Source organism: Homo sapiens, chromosome 2 (genome assembly GCF_000001405.40).
Source record: "Homo sapiens chromosome 2, GRCh38.p14 Primary Assembly".
In the NCBI taxonomy this organism is placed as follows: domain Eukaryota; kingdom Metazoa; phylum Chordata; class Mammalia; order Primates; family Hominidae; genus Homo; species Homo sapiens.
The window spans coordinates 222,700,367-222,719,462 of NC_000002.12; the positions used below are offsets into that span (position 1 = coordinate 222,700,367).

The following is a 19,096-nucleotide window of genomic DNA, read 5'->3' on the forward strand; positions in this document are numbered from 1 at the left end:
AACTGCAACTGTATTAACTTGTTTTCACTCATACTTGTCCAATGTGCTTCTCTTAAACATTCAGAAAGGGGGAAATTGCTTCAGTCCCTCCCTCTACTTACCCTGCAAACAGTTACAATGATTAGTAGTCTGTATCATCCTCAATATCCCGTTGTTGTTTCAAACGTTTAAAAACTCAAGCTAAGAATATGTTTTGTATATGTTTCATAAAGACTGACCTGCTATGATCTTAAGGTATAAGAATGGGAGTCCATAATGTAGAGCATCTCGATTTGTGTGAACTAGACCCTCAAGACTGTATTTAAAGACTTATTTACTTGAAAAAACACAAGTGGAGGATAGAACATTTACAATTCCATAAAAAAAGTAAAGCCATGTGTCAATCAAATGCCACAGAGAATAAAACACAATATAAGGCTGAAACAGTGATGTAAATGACTGTGTTCATTTCTATTTTAAATCATGCACTTGAAATGCAGTGTGGCTTCATTGCTGACTCCCTGACGTGAATTCTCCCTGTCCTACCCCAGGAAGGATTCAGGCAACATCTCAGAGCGGCAAGTTATTCTGTGGTCCCTCTGCTCCCTCTCCTACTTTATTAACTTAAGTAAGCGCTACCTTACGTCATAAGATAAACATCAACTCACTCAGTATTAGTTGGATTCATCCCAAATCATCACCTTAGCTAAATCCTCTCACAGGTGTCCAGAGAAGCCTGGATTCTCCATCCTTTAATAGTTTCCCGTGGCTGGCCGCGGTGGCTCACGCCTGTAATCCCAGCTAGTTGGGAGGAAGAGGCATGAGAATCACTTGAACCTGGGAGGTAGAGGTTGAAGTGAGCGGAGATCGTGCCACTGCACTCCAGCCTGGGTGACAGAGTGAGACTGTCTTGAAAGAAAGAGAGAAAAAGAGAGAGAGAGAGAGGAGGAGGAGGAGAGAGAGAGAGAGAGAGAGAGAGAGAGATAAAAGGAATTAAAGAGGGAAAGAAAGGAAAGGAAAAGAGGAAGGAAGGAAAGAGAAAGAAAGAAAGAAAGAGAGAGAGAGAGAAAAATAAAGAAAGAAAGAAAGAGAGGAGAGAAAGGAAGGAAGGAAGGAAAAAGAAAGAAAGAGAAAGAAAGAAAGAGAGAGTGGGGAGGGATGGAAGGAAGGAAGGGAAAAGAAAGAAAGAGAAAGAAAAAAGAAAAAAGAAAGAAAGAGAAAGAAAGAAAAGAAAGAAAAAGAAAGAAAGAAAGGGAGGGAGGGAGGGAGAGAAGAAAGGAAGGACGTCGGGAAGGAAAGAGAAAGAAGAAAGAGAGAGAGATAAAGAGAAAAGAGGGGTGGGCATGGGAGGGGAGGGGAAAGGAGGGGGTTCTTTCCATCCATAGGCGTGCCCTGATGGCTTGTGGCTGATGCTCCAGCGCTGGCCACATAGAGATTGATCTTGTCATTAAGAGGCATTTATTATGCAGCAGCTGGATGTACAGAAGGAAGTGGTATGGGTTTGAGGTCTGACTCTGAGCGACTTTGAATGTTTCATTTATCTTCTCCGAACCTCAGAGTTTACAACTATGAAAGAAGAGACCGTTAAAATTATTCTGTCTTCTCACAGGGATATTATGGGGATTAAATGTCATGATACATGGGAAGGCAGTCTAGACTCCAGGTGCTAGGCAAATGCAGGTTGGCAAATGGAGTAAAGGCCTCCTGCCTAGCTTGTTGAGAGCTTTCAAATGTGTTTCTAGTTCCCTGTGTAAGTAACTTGCCAAAATGTTAATCTGAATCAAATCATGAGGAAATAATCAGACAAATCCAGATTGTGGGACATTGTACAGAACAACTGGCCTGGACTCTTTAAAAATATCAGTGTCATAAGAGACAAGAGGGAGGGGGTCCTCAGAGACATACAACACAACAGCTGTTGTAGATTGATGGGAAAACAACTATGAACGATATTGAGGTGACTGATAAAGTTTGAATTTGGATTAAGTACAAAATAATATTGTAAAGAGGTTACATTTCTTGAGTATAATAATGGTGTTGTTATATAGGACATTGTTCTTGTTTTTAAGTAATACTGCAGAAATATTTAGGGATGATTCACATGATTGAATCATTGATGTCCACAACTTACTTTCAAATGGCCCCACAAAAATAGAAATAATAATGCACATGTATATACACACGTGTGCACACGTGCACAAAATGCTAGAAATTGCTGCATCTAGATGGGGGTAGGCAAGTGCTTATTGTATTCCTTCTGAAGGTTTGACTTTTTTTTTCAATAAAAAAGATAGGTAAGGGAATGCATTTTATTTAAATAAAACTAGTTTGAAACCACATGAGGACAAAAGTAATCCACTGTGTTTCAAGTCACTTTTATATTCTGATGGGAAAAAAGCAGACTGAATCTGGGAGGTGGAGGTTGCAGTCACTCCAGCCATGCACTCCAGCCTGGGCAACAGAACAAGACTTTGTCTCAAAAAAAAAAACCACAAAAAACAAACAAACAAACAAAAAACTGACTAAGTAAGGGATTTCGTAAAATATTTTTAAAAAAATAAAGAAAGGGAAACTTAATTTTTCATTGTAAAATTAAAGAGATTAAAGGAAATAATGTTAAGGGCACAAACATGGTGTTGTAGCGGAGGCAAAACTTTACCTCTAGCCTCTTAGGGTCACTGGCTGGGCCTGAGAATGAAGTTGACATCAACCAACAGGAGAAAAGCATGCAGATTTTTGCAAGTATGTGGGAACCCCCATAAGAAAATGAAGACCCAGAGAAGGGCAAGGGCTGAGTTTATATATGAGGTTGAACAAAGAAAGGCAATTGTGGAAAAATAGCTGAAGTAAATGGGGAGACTAAAGGAAGATAAGAGTTATTTTAATAAGGTCTGAACAGATTTCTCTTGGCCTGTCTCCACATCTCTGGTGATAACGTTCCTTCCTTCCTGCTATAGGGAGGGCATATTCTACAGAGGAATTTTGTTTCCTGCTTTCAGGAAGAAAAGGGGAGGTTAGAGTGCCCTTCTTGTACCTGAGGGTTTTTTTGTTTGTTTGTTTTGTTTTTTGTTTGTTTGTTTGTTTTTAGTGCCTTTAGCTCAAAATAATCTCGGTGCCAAAGTGGCATATTTTAGGGTGGCATGTTCTTCCACCTTTCAGTACCCAGGACAACATATCAAGTGCTCAATGAATGTTCATGAGTGAGTGTGTCTGTGTGTGGATCTATACATACTCACATGTACACAAGCTGACATTGGGCATCTTTTGAGCCTCCACCATAAGCCACGGGTGAGCCCTGATTTGCGTTCCAGCTTCATCTGACACCCAGGTTCCTGCTCCTTTTAACCCTTGTCGGCCACACAGCCCCTGCCTGTTTTTTCTCTAATATACAGCTATGTAGCATGTTGGAGAGCAATTCCTGCATGAGACTATTAGAACAATCAACTCTACAGAATCTTTACAATTACAGAATAGTAAAACAAAGATTTTTTTTTTTCTATGAATAATCTACTGGTTGCCTCCACGAGAAAAAAAATAATGCCCACTTCTAAATGCTTTTCCAGCTGTGTATACCACAAGCCCACAAAGCTCCCTCATCTTAGGTACAGCATAGCACCGTAGAAACTGAAGCAAGATAGCTGTGTAAGGCAATACATGCATAACTAATCTTGAATTGTTGGATGGAATTGGAAAATGGAGCAGTTGAGCATACCAGCTATAAAAAGCAGTGAAACATAAACAAAAGCTATGATTCCTGACTCTGTCACAAGTAGGCGTTGGCAGCTTTTTTTCCAGGGCAAGGAATTCTATTTCTAAGAGCAGCCTGATGCAGCCGAGTTTTTCCCCCTTTGTTTTGTAAAAAGGGAGTTTTGCAGAAGTTTCAACTTAGTCTTATGTTGAAAATGTTTTTTCTTCTCCTTAGTACTAAAAAGATGTTTCTGTGGAGAGAGAAAATTCTGGCCTTCTAGGGCTCCAGGGACCCTTTTAAGAGTATCCCGGCCAGGCGCGGTGGCTCACGCTTGTAATCCCAGCACTTTGGGAGGCTGAGGCGGGTAGATCACGAGGTCAGGAGATCGAGACCATCCTGGCTAACACGGTGAAACCCCGTCTCTACTAAAAATACAAAAAATTAGCCGGGCGTGGTGGTGGACGCCTGTAGTCCCAGCTACTCGGGAGGCTGAGGCAGGAGAGTGGCGTGAACCCGGGAGGCGGAGCTTGCAGTGAGCCGAGATCGCGCCACTGCACTCCAGCCTGGGCGACAAAGCGAGACTCCGTCTCCAGAAAAAAAAAAAAAGAGTATCCCAATTTGCAATAACTCACTATGGAACAATTCCAAGTAGATCTTTTTATTTGACCCTCACAACACTGGAGTTGGGTATGGCAGGGATGTTTATTATACTGGTTTCACAGATGAGGACCTTGAGCTCTCATGATAAGTAAGAGTAAAATGTGATGAAAGCTTATAATTCATCAGGTCTTTGATGCAGGCTGAGACCCCAAGTAATTGAATGTTGGGCCTAAGGGATTAGGGGTAGGTTATGATAGTGTTACAGGAGAGGGGTCCGGATTCATACCCCAAGAGAAGGCCCTTGGATCTCACACAAGAAAGAATTCAGGGCAAGTCCATAAAATGAAAGCAAGTTTATTAGGAAAGTAAAGGAATAAAAGAATGGCCACTCCGTAAACAGAGCATGGTTATTTTTTTGGTTATTTCTTGATTATATGCGAAACAAAGGGTGGATTACTTATGCTTCCCCTTTTTAGACCATAGAGGGTAACTTCTGACGTTGCCATGGCATTTGTAAACTGCCATGGAACTAATGGGAGTGTAGCAGTGAGGATGACCAGAGGTCATACGTTGCCATCTTGGTTTTGGTGGGTTTTGGCCGACTTCTTTACTGCAACCTGTTTTATCAGCAAGGTCTTTGTGACTTGTATCTTGTGCCAACCTCCTATCTCATCCTATGACTTAGGATGCCTTAACCATCTGGGAATGCAGCCCAGTAGGTCTCAGCCTTATTTTACCCAGCCCCTATTCAAGATGGAGTTGCACTGATTCCAGTGCCTCCGACAATAGGGCTAGGATTTGAAGCAAGCTAGGGGCCCTCAGAGCCAAGGCCCTGATGAGCTATTCTCTCCATCTGTCCTCCCTTTTGCAGAAGGTGAAGTGACTGTCTGAGAGCCAAGAGGGTGCATGGATACCTCAATGTCCTCATTTCTCTGTCTTTTGGCTGGAGCCCATTCCTTGAAGTTTTATATTTCTGACACCGTCATTCGGGTTTGTGGTGTTTTTCCATGGGCTGGCTAATTAATTAGCCTTCTTGTGCCCATTGTTCTCATTTGTAAAACAGGGACAATAATGGCTGTCTTGCTAGGTTTTTCCGGGGATTTGACTGAATAACATCTAGTAGACCCTCGATAAATAATAGCTTTATTTCCAATATAGGCACAAGTTAGCTTCAGGGCAGCTATATTGGAACTGAACTCACAATAGCAGGTTGTTTTCCACTGCTAATAGGCTGGTAGCTTTCAACCTCATTTCCCTGAGATGGGCTTTTTTGAATTATTTAGTAAAGGTATGATTATAATCTGTGTTCTGTTGCTTCTGGCTTCATCCCTAAAATGCAATTGAGAAAGATTTCTTACTCTCTAATCCGGTTTGGGGTTAGTTTAAGAAGCAGGGGCAGGAATGCTGGGTTTAAGTCGTATTAATTTCCTGGGCTTTTTTGAGTATAGTTTAGGAACTTTCAGCTCCTCACTTTTCCTACAACTAAGGCAAAGAAAAGAAGATTATGTCTATCTCACAGTTTAAAGGGATAAGTCTTATGATTATAAATTCACTCTAGGCTGGGCGTGGTGGCTCACGCCTATAATCCCAGCACTTTGGGAGGCCGAGGCAGGTGGATAACCCAAGGTCAGGAGTTTGAGACCAGCCTGACCAACATGACGAAACTCTGTCTCTACTAAAAACACAAAAATTACCCTGGCATGGTGGTGCGTGCCTGTAATTCCAACTACTTGGGAGGCTGAGGCAGGAGAATTGCTTGAACCTGGGGGGCAGAGGTTGCAGTGAGCTCAGATCATGCCACTTCACTCCAGCCTGGGAGAAAGAGAAAAACTCTGTATAAAAAAAAAAAAAAAATTCATTCCATATGTGAGCATGCTTAAGCTCTCTGGAAGAACCATCTGAAATGTAGTAAAACAATTAATGAGAAAAGAACAGGATTGAAATTAGCTGTAGGATAGCTCAGAGGAAAGAAGACTCACTAATTCAGAATGTACGAGTACTAGCTAAAGTAAGCAGAGAAGAACACACTTCATCTTCTTAGACCACTGAGTCTTTTTACTGGTCCCTTACCCCTACCCTGAATAGTTACATTAACCTCTCTCACTGGAATAATTTCACTAAGAAAACAGAAGCTATTTTAACAAAGCCACAAATTTGCTTAGATTTACATGTAGATTTCTCCATATCTTCCTCAAACAACAAAAAAGCTCAGTGCTGGAAGAATGCTTCAAGATCTTGGAATTCTTTTATCCTATGCATGTGAAAATTAAGGCCAGAGAGGCTGGCTGTGGTGGCTCACGCCGACCTAGCACTTTGAGAGGCTGAGGCTGGTAGATCACTTGGAGCCAGAAGTTTGAAGCCAGCAAGGCCAACATAGTGAACCCTGTCTCTACTAAAAATACAAAAAAGTTGGCTGGGCGTGGTGGCACATGCCTGTAATCTCAGCTACTGGGGAGGCTGAGGCACAAGAATTGCTTGAATCCAGGAGGCGGAGGCTGCAGTGAGACGAGATCACACCATTACAGTCTAGCATGGTTGACAGAGCAAGACTCCATTTCAGAAAGAAAGAGAGACAGAAAGAAAAACAAGGAAGGAAGGAAGGAAGGGAGGGGAAAGAAAGAGAAAGAAAGAGAGAGAGAAAGAAGGAGGGAAGGAAGGAAGGAAGGAAAGGAGGGAGGAAGGAAGGAAGGAGAAAGAAAGAAAAAGAAAGAAAGAAAAAGAAAGAAAGAGAAAGAAAGAGAAAGAAAGAAAAGAAAAGAGAAAGAGGGAGGGAAGGGAGGGAAGGGAGGGAAGGGAGGCAAGGAAGGGGAAAGGGAAAGGGAAAGGAAATTAAGGCCAGAGAGAAAGTCACCTGCTCAGGGCACTTACTGGTGAGCTGGGACTAGACCCAGCCCAGCCTTGTGCTTTTTGTGCAACTCCCGCTCCCAGTTCCACCTCATCACTACATTGGCCTCTGCTAGTCCATATTTCCAGCCACAATTGACAGTGAGATGGTTGTTTCCAGTTCTTTGTGTTGAGTTAAACAGGACTTATGTCTACTATGTATAAATGTGACATCCAAGCTATCAAAGAAAACCACATGAGCTTTTCAAGGCTATGTGTGGTTAAATTCTTAGCAATTTGAGAATATTAATGTTGCAGTAAGGATGTGTGTATGTGTGTGTGTCCTCTGTGCCCCCTCAGCTCCCATACTGATGTCATTTATCACTTCCTTCTCTGTGACTTAACATTTGTTCATATTTTGCTTAGCTAACCACCTACTCTTACTGACATGAATCAGAACCTCGTATGTGACATGGGATGACTCAGGATAGGACAAAGGTCGCTCTACTGTGGGTCCCATTCATTACCTAGAGCCCACCTGACCTCATGCCCAAGCTAATGAGGTCAGAGGCAGCAGTTTGCTGCCTCATTGAACTTCCTGTACATTTTCTTTTTTTTGTTGTTGTTTGTTTGCTTGTTTGTTTTGAGACGGAGTCTTGCTCTGTCCCCCAGGCTAAAGTGCAGTGGCGCAATCCGGTCTTACTGCAACCTCTGCCTCCTGGGTTCTAGAGGTTGTCCTGCCTCAGCCTCCCGGGTAGCTGGGATTACAGGTGCCCGCCACCACGTCCGGCTAATTTTTGTATTTTTAGTAGAGACGGTGTTTCGCCATGCTGGTCAGGCTAGTATCGAACTCCTGACCTCAGGTGATCCACCCGCCTCAGCCTCCCAAAGTGTTGGGATTACAGGCGTGAGACACTGCGCCCGGCCATCCTGTACATTTTCAACCCTTGGCATCAGTAGCAGCATCCGACCAGCAGGTGGCGCAGCGAGTGCAAGAGCCAAAGCCATGGGAATTTTTGTATTTTCTAAAAATCAGAGACAAGTGAGATGTTATATAAACACCTTTTAAAATATGTATAGAGGTTGCCAGATTTGTTTTTAATTAGTGTATTTGGAAAAACACAAATGCATTCTCATTTGTAGAAAATTTATATAACACAGTTAGAGTGAAATTTCCCCATCCCTACGTCCTTACCAAAAAGGAACTTTTATGTTTCTCTCTCTTTCCGGACTTTTTTCCATGCACTAAAAACGTATAATACTTCTAGGAATATAAACATTTTTTCCAAAAATGGATCATACTGTATTATTTTACAAATTATTTTTCCACTTAATACATTTTAGACATCTGTGTGTATTTGTGTATGTGTACACATATTTATATTATTTCATTGTTTAAAAATTTCTGCCTAGGATTCTATTGAATGACTATTACATGGTTTATTTAACAGTTTTTCTATTGAGACGTTAGCTGTTTTTCAGTTACCCGCTATTACAAACAATGGAATCCACGTCATTTATGTGTATTTCTCTAATACAGATACTTAGCTGTGAAGATATGTATTTTTTAATTGTTTAGAAAGACACTCAAAAGAGGCAGACTGGGCCTGGCCAGTCGCTCACCCTTGTAATTCCAGCTTGAGGTCAGGAGTTCAAGACCAGCCTGGCCAACATGGCAAAACCCCGTCTCTACTGAAAATACAAAAAAAAAATTAGCCGGGCATGGTGGTGGGAGCCTGTAATCCCAGCTACTCAGTGGGAGGTTAAGGCAAGAGAATCGCTTGAACTCGGGAGGCGGAGTTCGCAGTGAGCTGAGACTGTGCCACTGCACTCCAGCCTGGGTGACAGAGTAAGACTCTGTCTCAAAAAGAAGAGTCAGACTAGAGGACTGCCACGTGACGTGAGGATTCACAGTCAGTAATAATCAGGGCACTATGGTCTGGCTGTCAACTGTTCCAGAGGGAGGAAGCTGGTGACGTGGACACACAGCTATGTCCACTCACCTCCCAGCTGCAGTCAGCACAGTAGCTCATTTGACTCAAAGTCAAAACCACCAGGGTCCCGACAATCCAGTGTCTGCTGAGGAGGAAAGTTCTTTATTTGTTATCAGATGGAGTGGTGTGACCACTGCAGGCAGCCAGTGAAAGGAAACAAGGATTGGAGTGAGCAGGCTGGAGGGATTCTGATTGGCAGTTGTGTTCACAGCTGTGCATTAGGGGCGGCGGTCTGTGGTGGAGTGGTTTTAGTTCCTCACGTATGATGTATTCCCTGATTTGCAGTTGGCCGCCCGATCCCTGTTCGTCAGACTCTGAACCCGACCCAGGAGCAGATTGAGGAGTTACATCAGACCTATATGGAGGAACTTAGGAAATTGTTTGAGGAACACAAAGGAAAGTATGGCATTCCAGAGCACGAGACTCTTGTTTTAAAATGACTTGACTATAAAAAAAAATTAAAAAATAAAAATAAATGACTTGGCTGTAATAAGGCATAAAGAAGGATAAGAGACCATCCTATTGTGAGAATAAATATTTTAAAGACGTTTATTTTTTTTCTTTTGCCTGTGGCATCAAATTTGCAACAGAAAAGTATTATTTATGGCGATGAATGTTGGTGTATCTGTGGTAAATAAAAACACAGATGACTGTAGGATAAGGTTGGAGATGACTATAAGACATCTAATAATTTTCCTTGCCTATGAAGGCAAAATCATTTTACAGGTTATGAACAAGTTTAGAATTATTCATGTGCTCTGAAAAACAAAAGAAAGCTTCAAAAAGTAATTACACCCGGCCGGGCACAGTGGCTCACGCCTGTAATCCCAGCATTTTGGGAGGCCGAGACAGGTAGGTCACTTGAGGTCAGGAGTTTGAGACCAGCCTGGCCAACATGGTGAAACCCCGACTCTACTAAAAATACAAAAATTAGCTGGGCATTGTGGTGGGCACCTGTAATCCCGGCTACAAGGGAGGCTGAGGAAGGAGAATCGCTTGAACCTGGGAGGTGGAGGTTGCGATGAGCTGAGATCGCACCATTGCACTCCAACCTGGGAGACAGAGTGAGACTCTGTCTTAAAATAATAATAATAATAATAATAATAATAATAATAATTAGACCCTCTTACTAAACATCACAATAACTTAAGGTGGTGTTTTCACAAAATGTGACAACTGTTGTTCACAGCCAGCCCATTTGGGAGACACTGTGTAAAATAGTTCGCCATATACAGCTAGAGGAAATATTTTTTTCTGCTTGAACAGGACATTTGTTAGTGAATAAAGATACTTTTAATACTTAGATAGTTTGAGCCTTTGGTCATATCAACAACAAATTTTTAAATACTAGTGCAGGATTTTTTGCCATTTTCAAAATGGGATGAATCTGTCATACGAAAACTCATGTGGACAGGAGAATGGTTCCTCATTTCTATTCATGCTTAGAATCATGCTCCTTTGCTGTAGAGGGAAATCTATTTGGAAGACAGGCTTTTGCACATGATTCAGGACTAGAAATTCTGGAAATTCCATATCAGGAAATTCCAAAAAATTTTCATGCTAAGAGAAATGGTTTTAATTTGCTTCCTGAATGGCCTTTTCATTATAAAATAATCTCTAAAAGAAAGTGCCGGCTGGGCGTGGTGGCTCATGCCTGTAATCTCAGCACTTTGGGAGGCTGAGGCGGGTGGATCACCTGAGGTCAGGAGTTCGAGACCAGCCTGACCAACATGGTGAAACCCCGTCTCTACTAAAAATACAAAAATTAGCCAGGTGTGGTGGCAGGCACCTGTAGTCCCAGCTACTCGGGAGGCCGAGACAGGAGAATTGCTTAAACCTGGGAGGCGGAGGTTGCGGTGAGCGGAGATTGCACCACTGCACTCCAGCCTGGGCGACAGGGTGAGAATCCATCTCAAGAAAAGAAAAAAGAAAGAAAGTGTCCTCCCTGGTGAGATACGTCCAGTTCACAGTTCGCCGGGTTTAGGACTCTTCTCTGACCCAGCATGAGCAGGGACCTTGTCCTTCCTGTTTACTGACATCCCCTCAGTGCCCAGGTCAGCTTATGGCGCTTAGTAGGCAAAAAGTAAGTACTTGTTTGATGAATGCATTTATAGCTAAACATGCAAACAAACTTTTCCATTAAGCAGAGAATTTTTAAAGCTGTACCATAGGATGAGACCTGTTTTAAGGTAAGACCCACTTGCAGAAGGAGAATATTTGCTGTGTCTGATTGCTCTGAACCGGTAATCAACAATACCGTAAGCCAATTCACAGGGAGCAAGTCAGAAAGAGGTTTCTGATAATTAGTCACTAAGTGTTAAGTAACTAGTCATTCGACAAGAAGAATGTCTCGTTTCCAACCCATGTCCACTGCTAGATGTTTGCTTTTGTGCTTCCTCTTCTCCAGGTGTTCGTAGGCAACTTCAGGGAGCTGCCTCCCAACTTATTGGTAATATGTCTTCAGGCTTCCAATTTTTAAATATTCAGCTCTGGGCTAGAGGCTGGATTGGGGTTTAGTCACAGCAAAATACAGTCATGCTGGGTAATGCCTTAAGAAGGAGGGCATGTCACCTACAAAAAGCCTGAAACTTCTCAATTGCTCTACATGAAGTTTTTTGGGCCAGAATCCCTTTGGCTTCACCCTAGTTGAGGAATCCAGGGGTCCACTGACCTGTGGGCTTGAAATTACTTCAATTTTGGTCAAAGCAGGACCTTTAACTTATTTTTTAAAACCCATGAGTTGTATCCCCTTGGAGAAGTTTGTTAAAAGCCCATGCCACGTCATCATTTGCAATTTCACAGAGGTATGCGTTTTAATCTCACAGCTAGTAGTGAGGAGGTGAAGCTGACCACCCAACATCCGCTGGGTTATCCAGCAGGCAGTTAAAGCCCGTGCTTGTAAATCGGAGGCATTAAAAAGTGAAAAAAGTTTGCTCGCATGAAATTATCTAGAATTTTGCCATTAAAAAGTCTAGACATAAGCAACTTTAATTTTGGCATACATAAAATGTTATTTTTCAGTACACATGGCAGAGGGTATGCAGGATGGGTTATCTCTTCACGTATTACAATCTCTAGAGGTCTTAATTTGGCCATGCTAGAAGTCTTTTTATGTATTCAAAGTATACCTGTAAGTTTCATATAGTCCAGTCCTGTAGATCGCTAATGAATTTTTTCATATGAATTTTTGCTACCAGACAAATGTTGGCCATATTCACTAGTATGGCTTGATGGAGATATCTTCCATTGTAAAGGTTCCCATCAACTAGGTAATTGCACATAAATTTTAAACAGTGGCCGGGTGCGGTGGCTTATGCCTACAATCCCGGTACTTTGGGAGGCCGAGGTGGGTGGATCACCTGAGGTCAGGAGTTCGAGACCAGCCTGGCGGGGTTTCAACATGGTGAAACCCCGTCTCTACTGAAAATACAAAAATTAGCTGGGCATGGTGGTGCGTGCCTGTAATCCCAGCTACTCAGGAGGCTGAGGCAGGAGAATCGCTTGAACCCAGGAGGCAGAGGTTGCAGTGAGGTGAGATTGTGCCACTGCACTCCAGCCTGGGTGACAAGAGTGAAACTCCATCTCAAAAAAAAAAAAAAACAAAACTTTTTTTTTTAAACAGCAAAGCAAAACAATGATAATGCAAATAACCGTAGAACACTGTAAGAGAAACATTTCCTTGGGAAAATGTGCATGTATGCTGTTTGATTTGGACATTTTTCCCTGTGTTTCCATTGCACCCTGGGTGCAGCCTGAGTCATTGCTTTTGTCTTGCAGCTAGAAGCATATGAAATTGTTGATGACCAGCTACGTCTATCATGCTCACGATGAAGGTTGCAGCTTCAGTGCTTATGAAGGCCAGCCCAGTTTGATCTTTTCAAAGGGGAACAGTAAGTGATGCTAGATGTTTTGCTGCAAATCCCTTGCAACTACTATGAAAACATCAAAATGTGTATATGTTAGGGATGATGGGTGAACCTTTATTGTATGCGTAGGATTAAAAGTGACATCCCTGCTTTCGGTAGAATGTATGTTTCTATCATGGGAAACATGGAGGTGGAATCTGGTTATCATGTCCACACATCTGTAACTTTACGTCTCTTTCAAACTACCTCACTGATGCAGGCTACTAAAGTTTGTGATAAATATGAAAACAGTTTTGGGGTGCATTAGCTCATATTCTTTTCCTCTGACGAGAGACACCATTGGCAAGATTTGTTGATTGGTTGCTTTGTCAATAGCCCAAGATGGCTAGCTCTCATATTTGTGTTTTTTAACCTAAGTAGCCAAATGTCTATTTGTAGGGCTGGAGGAGTTACTTCAAGTAGAATTTGTATATCTTTGTAAGGGAGAAAAACAGGGCGACTTCTAAAATAACCACCCAGTTGTTCTGTTTCTCTAGGATTGCAAACACAGAAGCAGTTATTTATATTTAAAACAAAGAGATTTCTCTAGTACCTTATATTTTTTTGTTATAGTCAATCCTTCCCAAACACCTCCAGCTTAGTGCCTTACTATCTTATATCAAAAGGAGAAAGTTGATCTCAATCCATGTTAACCCATAGGATAATGAGTTCTTCAGTAGCAGAATCTGTGTCTTGTTTTCATTTCAATCCTGACCCCAACAGAGGAGGTCTCTAGTAGTCTCTTGGGGAATGTTTGTGGCACTAACCTGGAAATCTGGTGGATTGTGTCAAAGAAGCCAAGTTTTAGCACTAGAAGGGACTTCATCATCTGTCTAATTATTCCTTCTGCCGATGAAGCAGTTGAACCCTAGTGAAGTTTCATGCAGATTAAAAGTGACTCCATGTTCCTATTACTCTTCCCTAGATTGAGCAGGAGGTACTCCTAGTCCATGATTGCTGATTAATAAACCTAAAAATCCTCCTATAAAACAGAAGTGTCAAAAAAAAGTAGAGCGTAATTAAAAATCCACTTGAAGCAAGGGATTAAACAGTGCAGAATCAAGCTGTCTTATTGGCATTGAGAACATTTTTCTTTTTGGGGGCCGGTACACCACGTTGTTGATTTTTCCCTTTTGTAAGAGCTATTTTGGTGCTGTGTCTTGGGAAAAGTCCAAGTTTTCAACAACAAGTTTAGCCTCGAGAGCCTTGTGTATTGGAGCAGTGAATAAGGCAAGGTGTCATATGCCCATGACAACTGACAGACCCAGAAAAAAATCTTCCATCAGTCGTGTTGTGATCATTAGAGCAGGCCAGAGCAATCCTATTACTCAGACAGAGGTGGAGGCCGAGCTTCTGTCACCTCATTGATGGTACTAAGCCCAGACTCAATTCTGGCTCCAGCCTCATTCAGCTGAGTTATCACAGCTGCTTTTTTTTTTTTTTTTTTAATAGCTCTTAGATTCTGGTTAAGAATCATCTTAGGCTCTCTTGAGAACAGACATGAACCTGATGTTGCTGGCGTTCCCCAAGCCTGCTTAATTCTCTCCTACTCCATTTCCAGACCAACTTGGAGCCTTAGATCTTTCTGGTTGGATTCCAGACCCTGCAATGTGGGTTTGCAGTGATGTGGGGACAATCAGAGAACTAGAACCTGGTTGCCACATTTTTCTACTCTCCAGCCTTCTGTTTTAGATAGTCCTTCAGCCTCTGATCTTCTAGTAATTGGCTAGGTAACCTGGACTCTGTTCTTTCCTAGGTAAATAGAGTTGGGAGTGAATGATCCTCCAGGTCATTTCTGCCTGTATCTTATGGTCTCTGCCTGGCCTTTTATCTGTCAAGGCAATAACATCTAATTGGAGGTGTAGGTTTACCTGATAACTCTGCCTTTTCCTCCGCCTTTGTCACTTATTTCTGTTCCTCCAAGAAATGCAGTGAGCTGAAATGATTATCTCACTTTCTTGGTGTATGTATGTGTGTATATGTGCATATACACATACATGCACACACATGCACACGTTTTATATATATATAAAACAAATTATATAAATATATATATATATGAAACAAATTGCTACTGGAATTTCTCTAGGATCACAATAATATTTAGTCATGTGTTTCTGAGAAAAAATTTAATTCCCTAAATAAAAATAGGTGGAATTTATCTCAGAAGTTTCCTCCTTTCTATCATTCAAAACTATGGAATAACACTGTTTATTACTTGTTAAAATCTTTATAGGAGACTGTGAAATTTGTATATTTTCTATATGGGATTCGTTGTGGTATGTTTTTTAAAAGCTTTCCATTTGTAAAAGTTTTGACCAATAAATGTGTTTTTATGCCTGAGTGATAATGTATGAGTGTGGCTTTCAACCTGGATAGAATGTTTTTCATCTCCCACACTTTGGCGAGGCTGAATTAATTTAGACTTGAGGATGAATATCGGCGAGGAAACTGGTGTGAAACTGTGAGAATTGCAAATTGTCAGAGTGAGGAGTCAGTACTTTAAATTCTCTTGATGGAATATAAAATACAGCAGAAAGCGGGGGCGGGGTTAACTGACAACTGCAGGTGGACAGGAATGAAAGAAGAACTGGGGCTGGCAGGAGGAAACGAGTCCGCCAACTGCCGTGGTCTCATGTGCCTGGAGAAACAAAGAGGCTCCTCGGATTCAGAAATATTCAAAAACTAGTAGAAAAGATTGAAAATTACAAATCAAGTCAATCACTGCTAATGGGCATGGGGTTTCTTTTGGGGTGATGAAAAATGTTCTAAAATTAATCATGGTCATGGTTGCACAATGCTGCGAATATACTACCCCCCTGAAATTCTCCTTTTTAAGTGGGTAAATTTGATGGTATGTGAATTATATCTCAATAAAGCTGTGGTATAAAATCTAGTCAGTCAGACACTAGCCAAAACAATGGAAGAAGGTAAAAGTGAAATTCCTTTCTGGGTCAAGAATGAAGTTGCCTCCCTTTGGATGTCAGCGCCTTGTAGGACGAAGCTTCTACCTTGATTTGTGAGGCCTGTTTGTGTTCCTGGTGTTCATCATCAAAATCAGTGTTTTCAATACTCTTTTTAAAGTATTTTAGCCAGATACAGTGGCTCACTCCTGTAATCCCAGCACTTTGGGAGGCTGAGGTGGGTGGATCACCTGAGGTCAGCAGTTGGAAACCAGCCTGACCAACAAGGTGAAACCCCGTCTCTACTAAAAATACAAAAATTAGCCAGGCGTGGTGGCAGGTGCCTGTAATCCCAGCTACTCTGGAGCCTAAGACAGGAGAACTGCTGGAACCCAGGAGACGGAGGTTGCAGTGAGCCGAGATCGCACCACTGCACTCCAGCCTGGGTGACGGAGCAAGACGCCATCTTGAAAAAAAAAAAAAAAAAAGAAGAAGTATTTTATTGGATAAAGAACATGCTGTTGTATTACAGTGTAAACTACTGCTTGACTTTAATTTTTCCCAGTATTTTATTAATACTGTAGCATAAAACTAAGTATGCATTATGTTAACATATAAAACAATAGTCAACATTTGCCAATCAATTATCTAAAAGGTGCCAGATACAGGGTTAAATATTTTATGTATGTTGTGATATTTAGCTCTTAAAATATCCCTAGGAGGTTGGTACTGTTTTTATCCTATAGACTGGGGCTCCAAGGGGTTAAAAACTGTGCTTGAAGCAACCCTGATGGCGAGTGGTGGGGCTTAGCACAGTAATGCTGGGTCCTCTGGCCAGACCCCATGCTCTAGATGTAGGACCCGAGAGCCTTGAGGGTATGTGATGCTTGCTGTGAGATTCTGGGTAAGTAACTGCATACCCTTTACCTATCAAAGAAGAGGAAGAGGCTGGGCGTGGTGGCTCACGCTTGTATTCCCAGCACTTCGGGAGGCCGAGGTGGGTGGATTACAAGGTCAAGAGATCGAGACCATCCTGGCCAACATGATGAAACCCTGTCTCTACTAAAAATACAAAAAAAAAAAAAAAAATTAGTGGGGCGTGGTGGCGCATGCCTGTAGTCCCAGCTACCTGGGAGGCTGAGGCAGGAGAATTGCCTCAACCCAGGAGGCGGAAGTTGCAGTGAGCTAAGATCCCACCACTGCACTCCAGCCTGAGCGACAGAGTAAGACTCAGTCTCAAAAAAAAAAAAAAAAAAGGGAGAGGATGAGGCAGGAAGGCTAAGGTTCTTTTTGGGTCTATCTAAGCTGCGATTCTATTCTAAAGCCATTTCTGAACAGCCCTCTTTTCCAAAATCCAATGGACACAGCAGCCATCTTCAGCACTGAAGACAACACCTGGGGACTCTTTATGCAATGGCAAAATGGTATGTCCATCATTAAAGGGACAAAGCCAAAAAGCTTCATAAATGGACTAACATTTGTTGTCAAAGTTAAGCATTTAAAAAGAACACCTAGCCGGGCGCAGTGGCTCACGCCTGTAATCCCAACACTGAGAGGCCAAGGCGGGCAGATCACCTGAGGTCAGGAGTTCGAGACCAGCCTGGCCAACATGGTGAAACCCTGTCTCTACTAAAAATACAAAAATTAGCCAGGCATGGTAGCAGGCACCTGTAATCCCAGCTACTCGAGAGGCTGAGGCAGGAGAATCATTTGAACCTGGGAGGTGGAGCTTGCAGTGAGCTGAGATCACATCATTGCACTCCAGCCTGGGTGACAGAGGGAGACTGCGTCTCAATAAAATAAAAATAAAAATAAATAAATAAATAAATAAAAAGAACACCCTTTTGGTCAAAAGTCTTGATTTTTAGTAGCTATTACTATGGTGCATAGATCATTTGCTGAGGAAAGATTGCTTTTCAGAACTATATCTTTAAATTCATTTTCTTACATGTGCATACTAAGGGTGTGTGTTTCTAAGTACCTTGACACATGTTTCTTGTAAGATGATTGCTACATATTCCAAATTTAAGAAGAATCTTCACTGCCTTCTCTAGTTCTCCAACAACATCTTAAGAAATTCTAGATGTAAAGGAAATTTGATCTTTAATTTTACCTGGCATTGGCATTTTATGGGCTGCTGAAATAAAGGAATGGTGTAATTTATCTTAGGTTGGTTGATGATATAAGAGCAGAATCATACAATTTGTAATTTTAAATGGACTTAATTTAAAAATAACATTGGATCTATGAATATAGAATTTTCATTCATCTCAAAGAATTGTAACAAGATTATAGAAGGGTTTATATATTATATATAGTGTTAATACATTACATCTTTATATATTATATATGTTGTATATAATATAGATATAGATGGAGATAGATGTGGATATAGATGTAGATTCATTACTATTATTGAAATAATACCCAAACAAAGGACATTTAAAATCATTAATAAAAGCAAATGCGTTTCATTTAGCCACAAACTATACCTTGAAAGATGAATTTGGGCTGGGTGCAGTGGCTCATGCTTGTAATCCCAGCACCTTGGAAGGCTGAGGCGGGAGGATTGCTTGAGCTCAGAGGTTTGAGACCAGCTTGGACAACATGGAGAAACCCTGTCTCTACAAAAAATACAAAAATTAGCTGGGTATGGTGGTGCACGCCTGTAGTCCCAGCTACTTGGGAAGCTGAAGTGGGAAGATGGTTTGAGCCCAGGAGGTGGAGTTTGCAGTGGGCAGAGATCAGGCCACTGCACTCCAGCCTGAGTGACAGAGCAAGACCCTGTCTCAAAAAAAAAAAAAATAGATGAATTTGATTTATGTTTTGAATAAGATATGGTCAGTTGAACTTAGTACATTATTACATGGAAGCACTGGGGATGTGACCTAGGGATGCTTTACAACATTTCTATGGAGAGTAACACATTTTGCTGTTTCAAACCAGGACAGAAGCACACCTGTGCCTTAAAGGCACTGAGAGCTCTGGAGGCAATGGGTAAACTTTCCAGCCAGGGAAGCCTTTGATGAGACATCAACCCACATACCTTCCCTTTTCTGCCTCCTTCTGTTATTTTTTTCCTCTTCACATTGGCTTCTGCTTTGTCCATCATCCAGGATAAAGAAAAATAAAAGGAAGAGAAGTGGGGAAAGGGGAAAGTTGAATTGCAAGAAGCACTGAGAACTTGTTTTTTCTCAGAGGTAA

General features: G+C 41.7%; 1 protein-coding gene across 1 annotated transcript in view, besides 4 other annotated features; it reads left to right on the plus strand.

The window, feature by feature from the left end:
• Positions 1 to 9,564, plus strand: part of MOGAT1 (monoacylglycerol O-acyltransferase 1) — a 38,273-nt gene extending 28,709 nt beyond the window's left edge. Inside the window, exon 6 of the mRNA NM_058165.3 lies at positions 9,370 to 9,564. Within this exon, the coding sequence (NP_477513.2) occupies positions 9,370 to 9,524 (155 nt within the window). The 3' untranslated portion in view covers positions 9,525 to 9,564. The remainder of the gene's footprint in view (positions 1 to 9,369) is intronic.
• Positions 8,924 to 9,218: an enhancer, noted in NCBI's record as "tiled region #9925; HepG2 Activating DNase matched - State 1:Tss". NCBI's record gives its function as "weakly activates a minimal TATA promoter and a strong SV40 promoter by Sharpr-MPRA in HepG2 cells {active_cell/tissue: HepG2}" and the evidence as "EXISTENCE:reporter gene assay evidence [ECO:0000049][PMID:27701403]".
• Positions 8,924 to 9,458: a biological region, named in NCBI's record as "Sharpr-MPRA regulatory regions 6546 and 9925".
• Positions 9,028 to 9,217: an enhancer, noted in NCBI's record as "active region_17168". NCBI's record gives its function as "activates an Ori minimal core promoter by ATAC-STARR-seq in GM12878 lymphoblastoid cells {active_cell/tissue: GM12878}" and the evidence as "EXISTENCE:reporter gene assay evidence [ECO:0000049][PMID:35858748]".
• Positions 9,164 to 9,458: an enhancer, noted in NCBI's record as "tiled region #6546; HepG2 Activating DNase unmatched - State 1:Tss, and K562 Activating non-DNase unmatched - State 1:Tss". NCBI's record gives its function as "activates a minimal TATA promoter and a strong SV40 promoter by Sharpr-MPRA in HepG2 cells, with weaker activity in K562 cells {active_cell/tissue: HepG2 | K562}" and the evidence as "EXISTENCE:reporter gene assay evidence [ECO:0000049][PMID:27701403]".
• Positions 9,565 to 19,096: the final 9,532 nt, after the last annotated feature.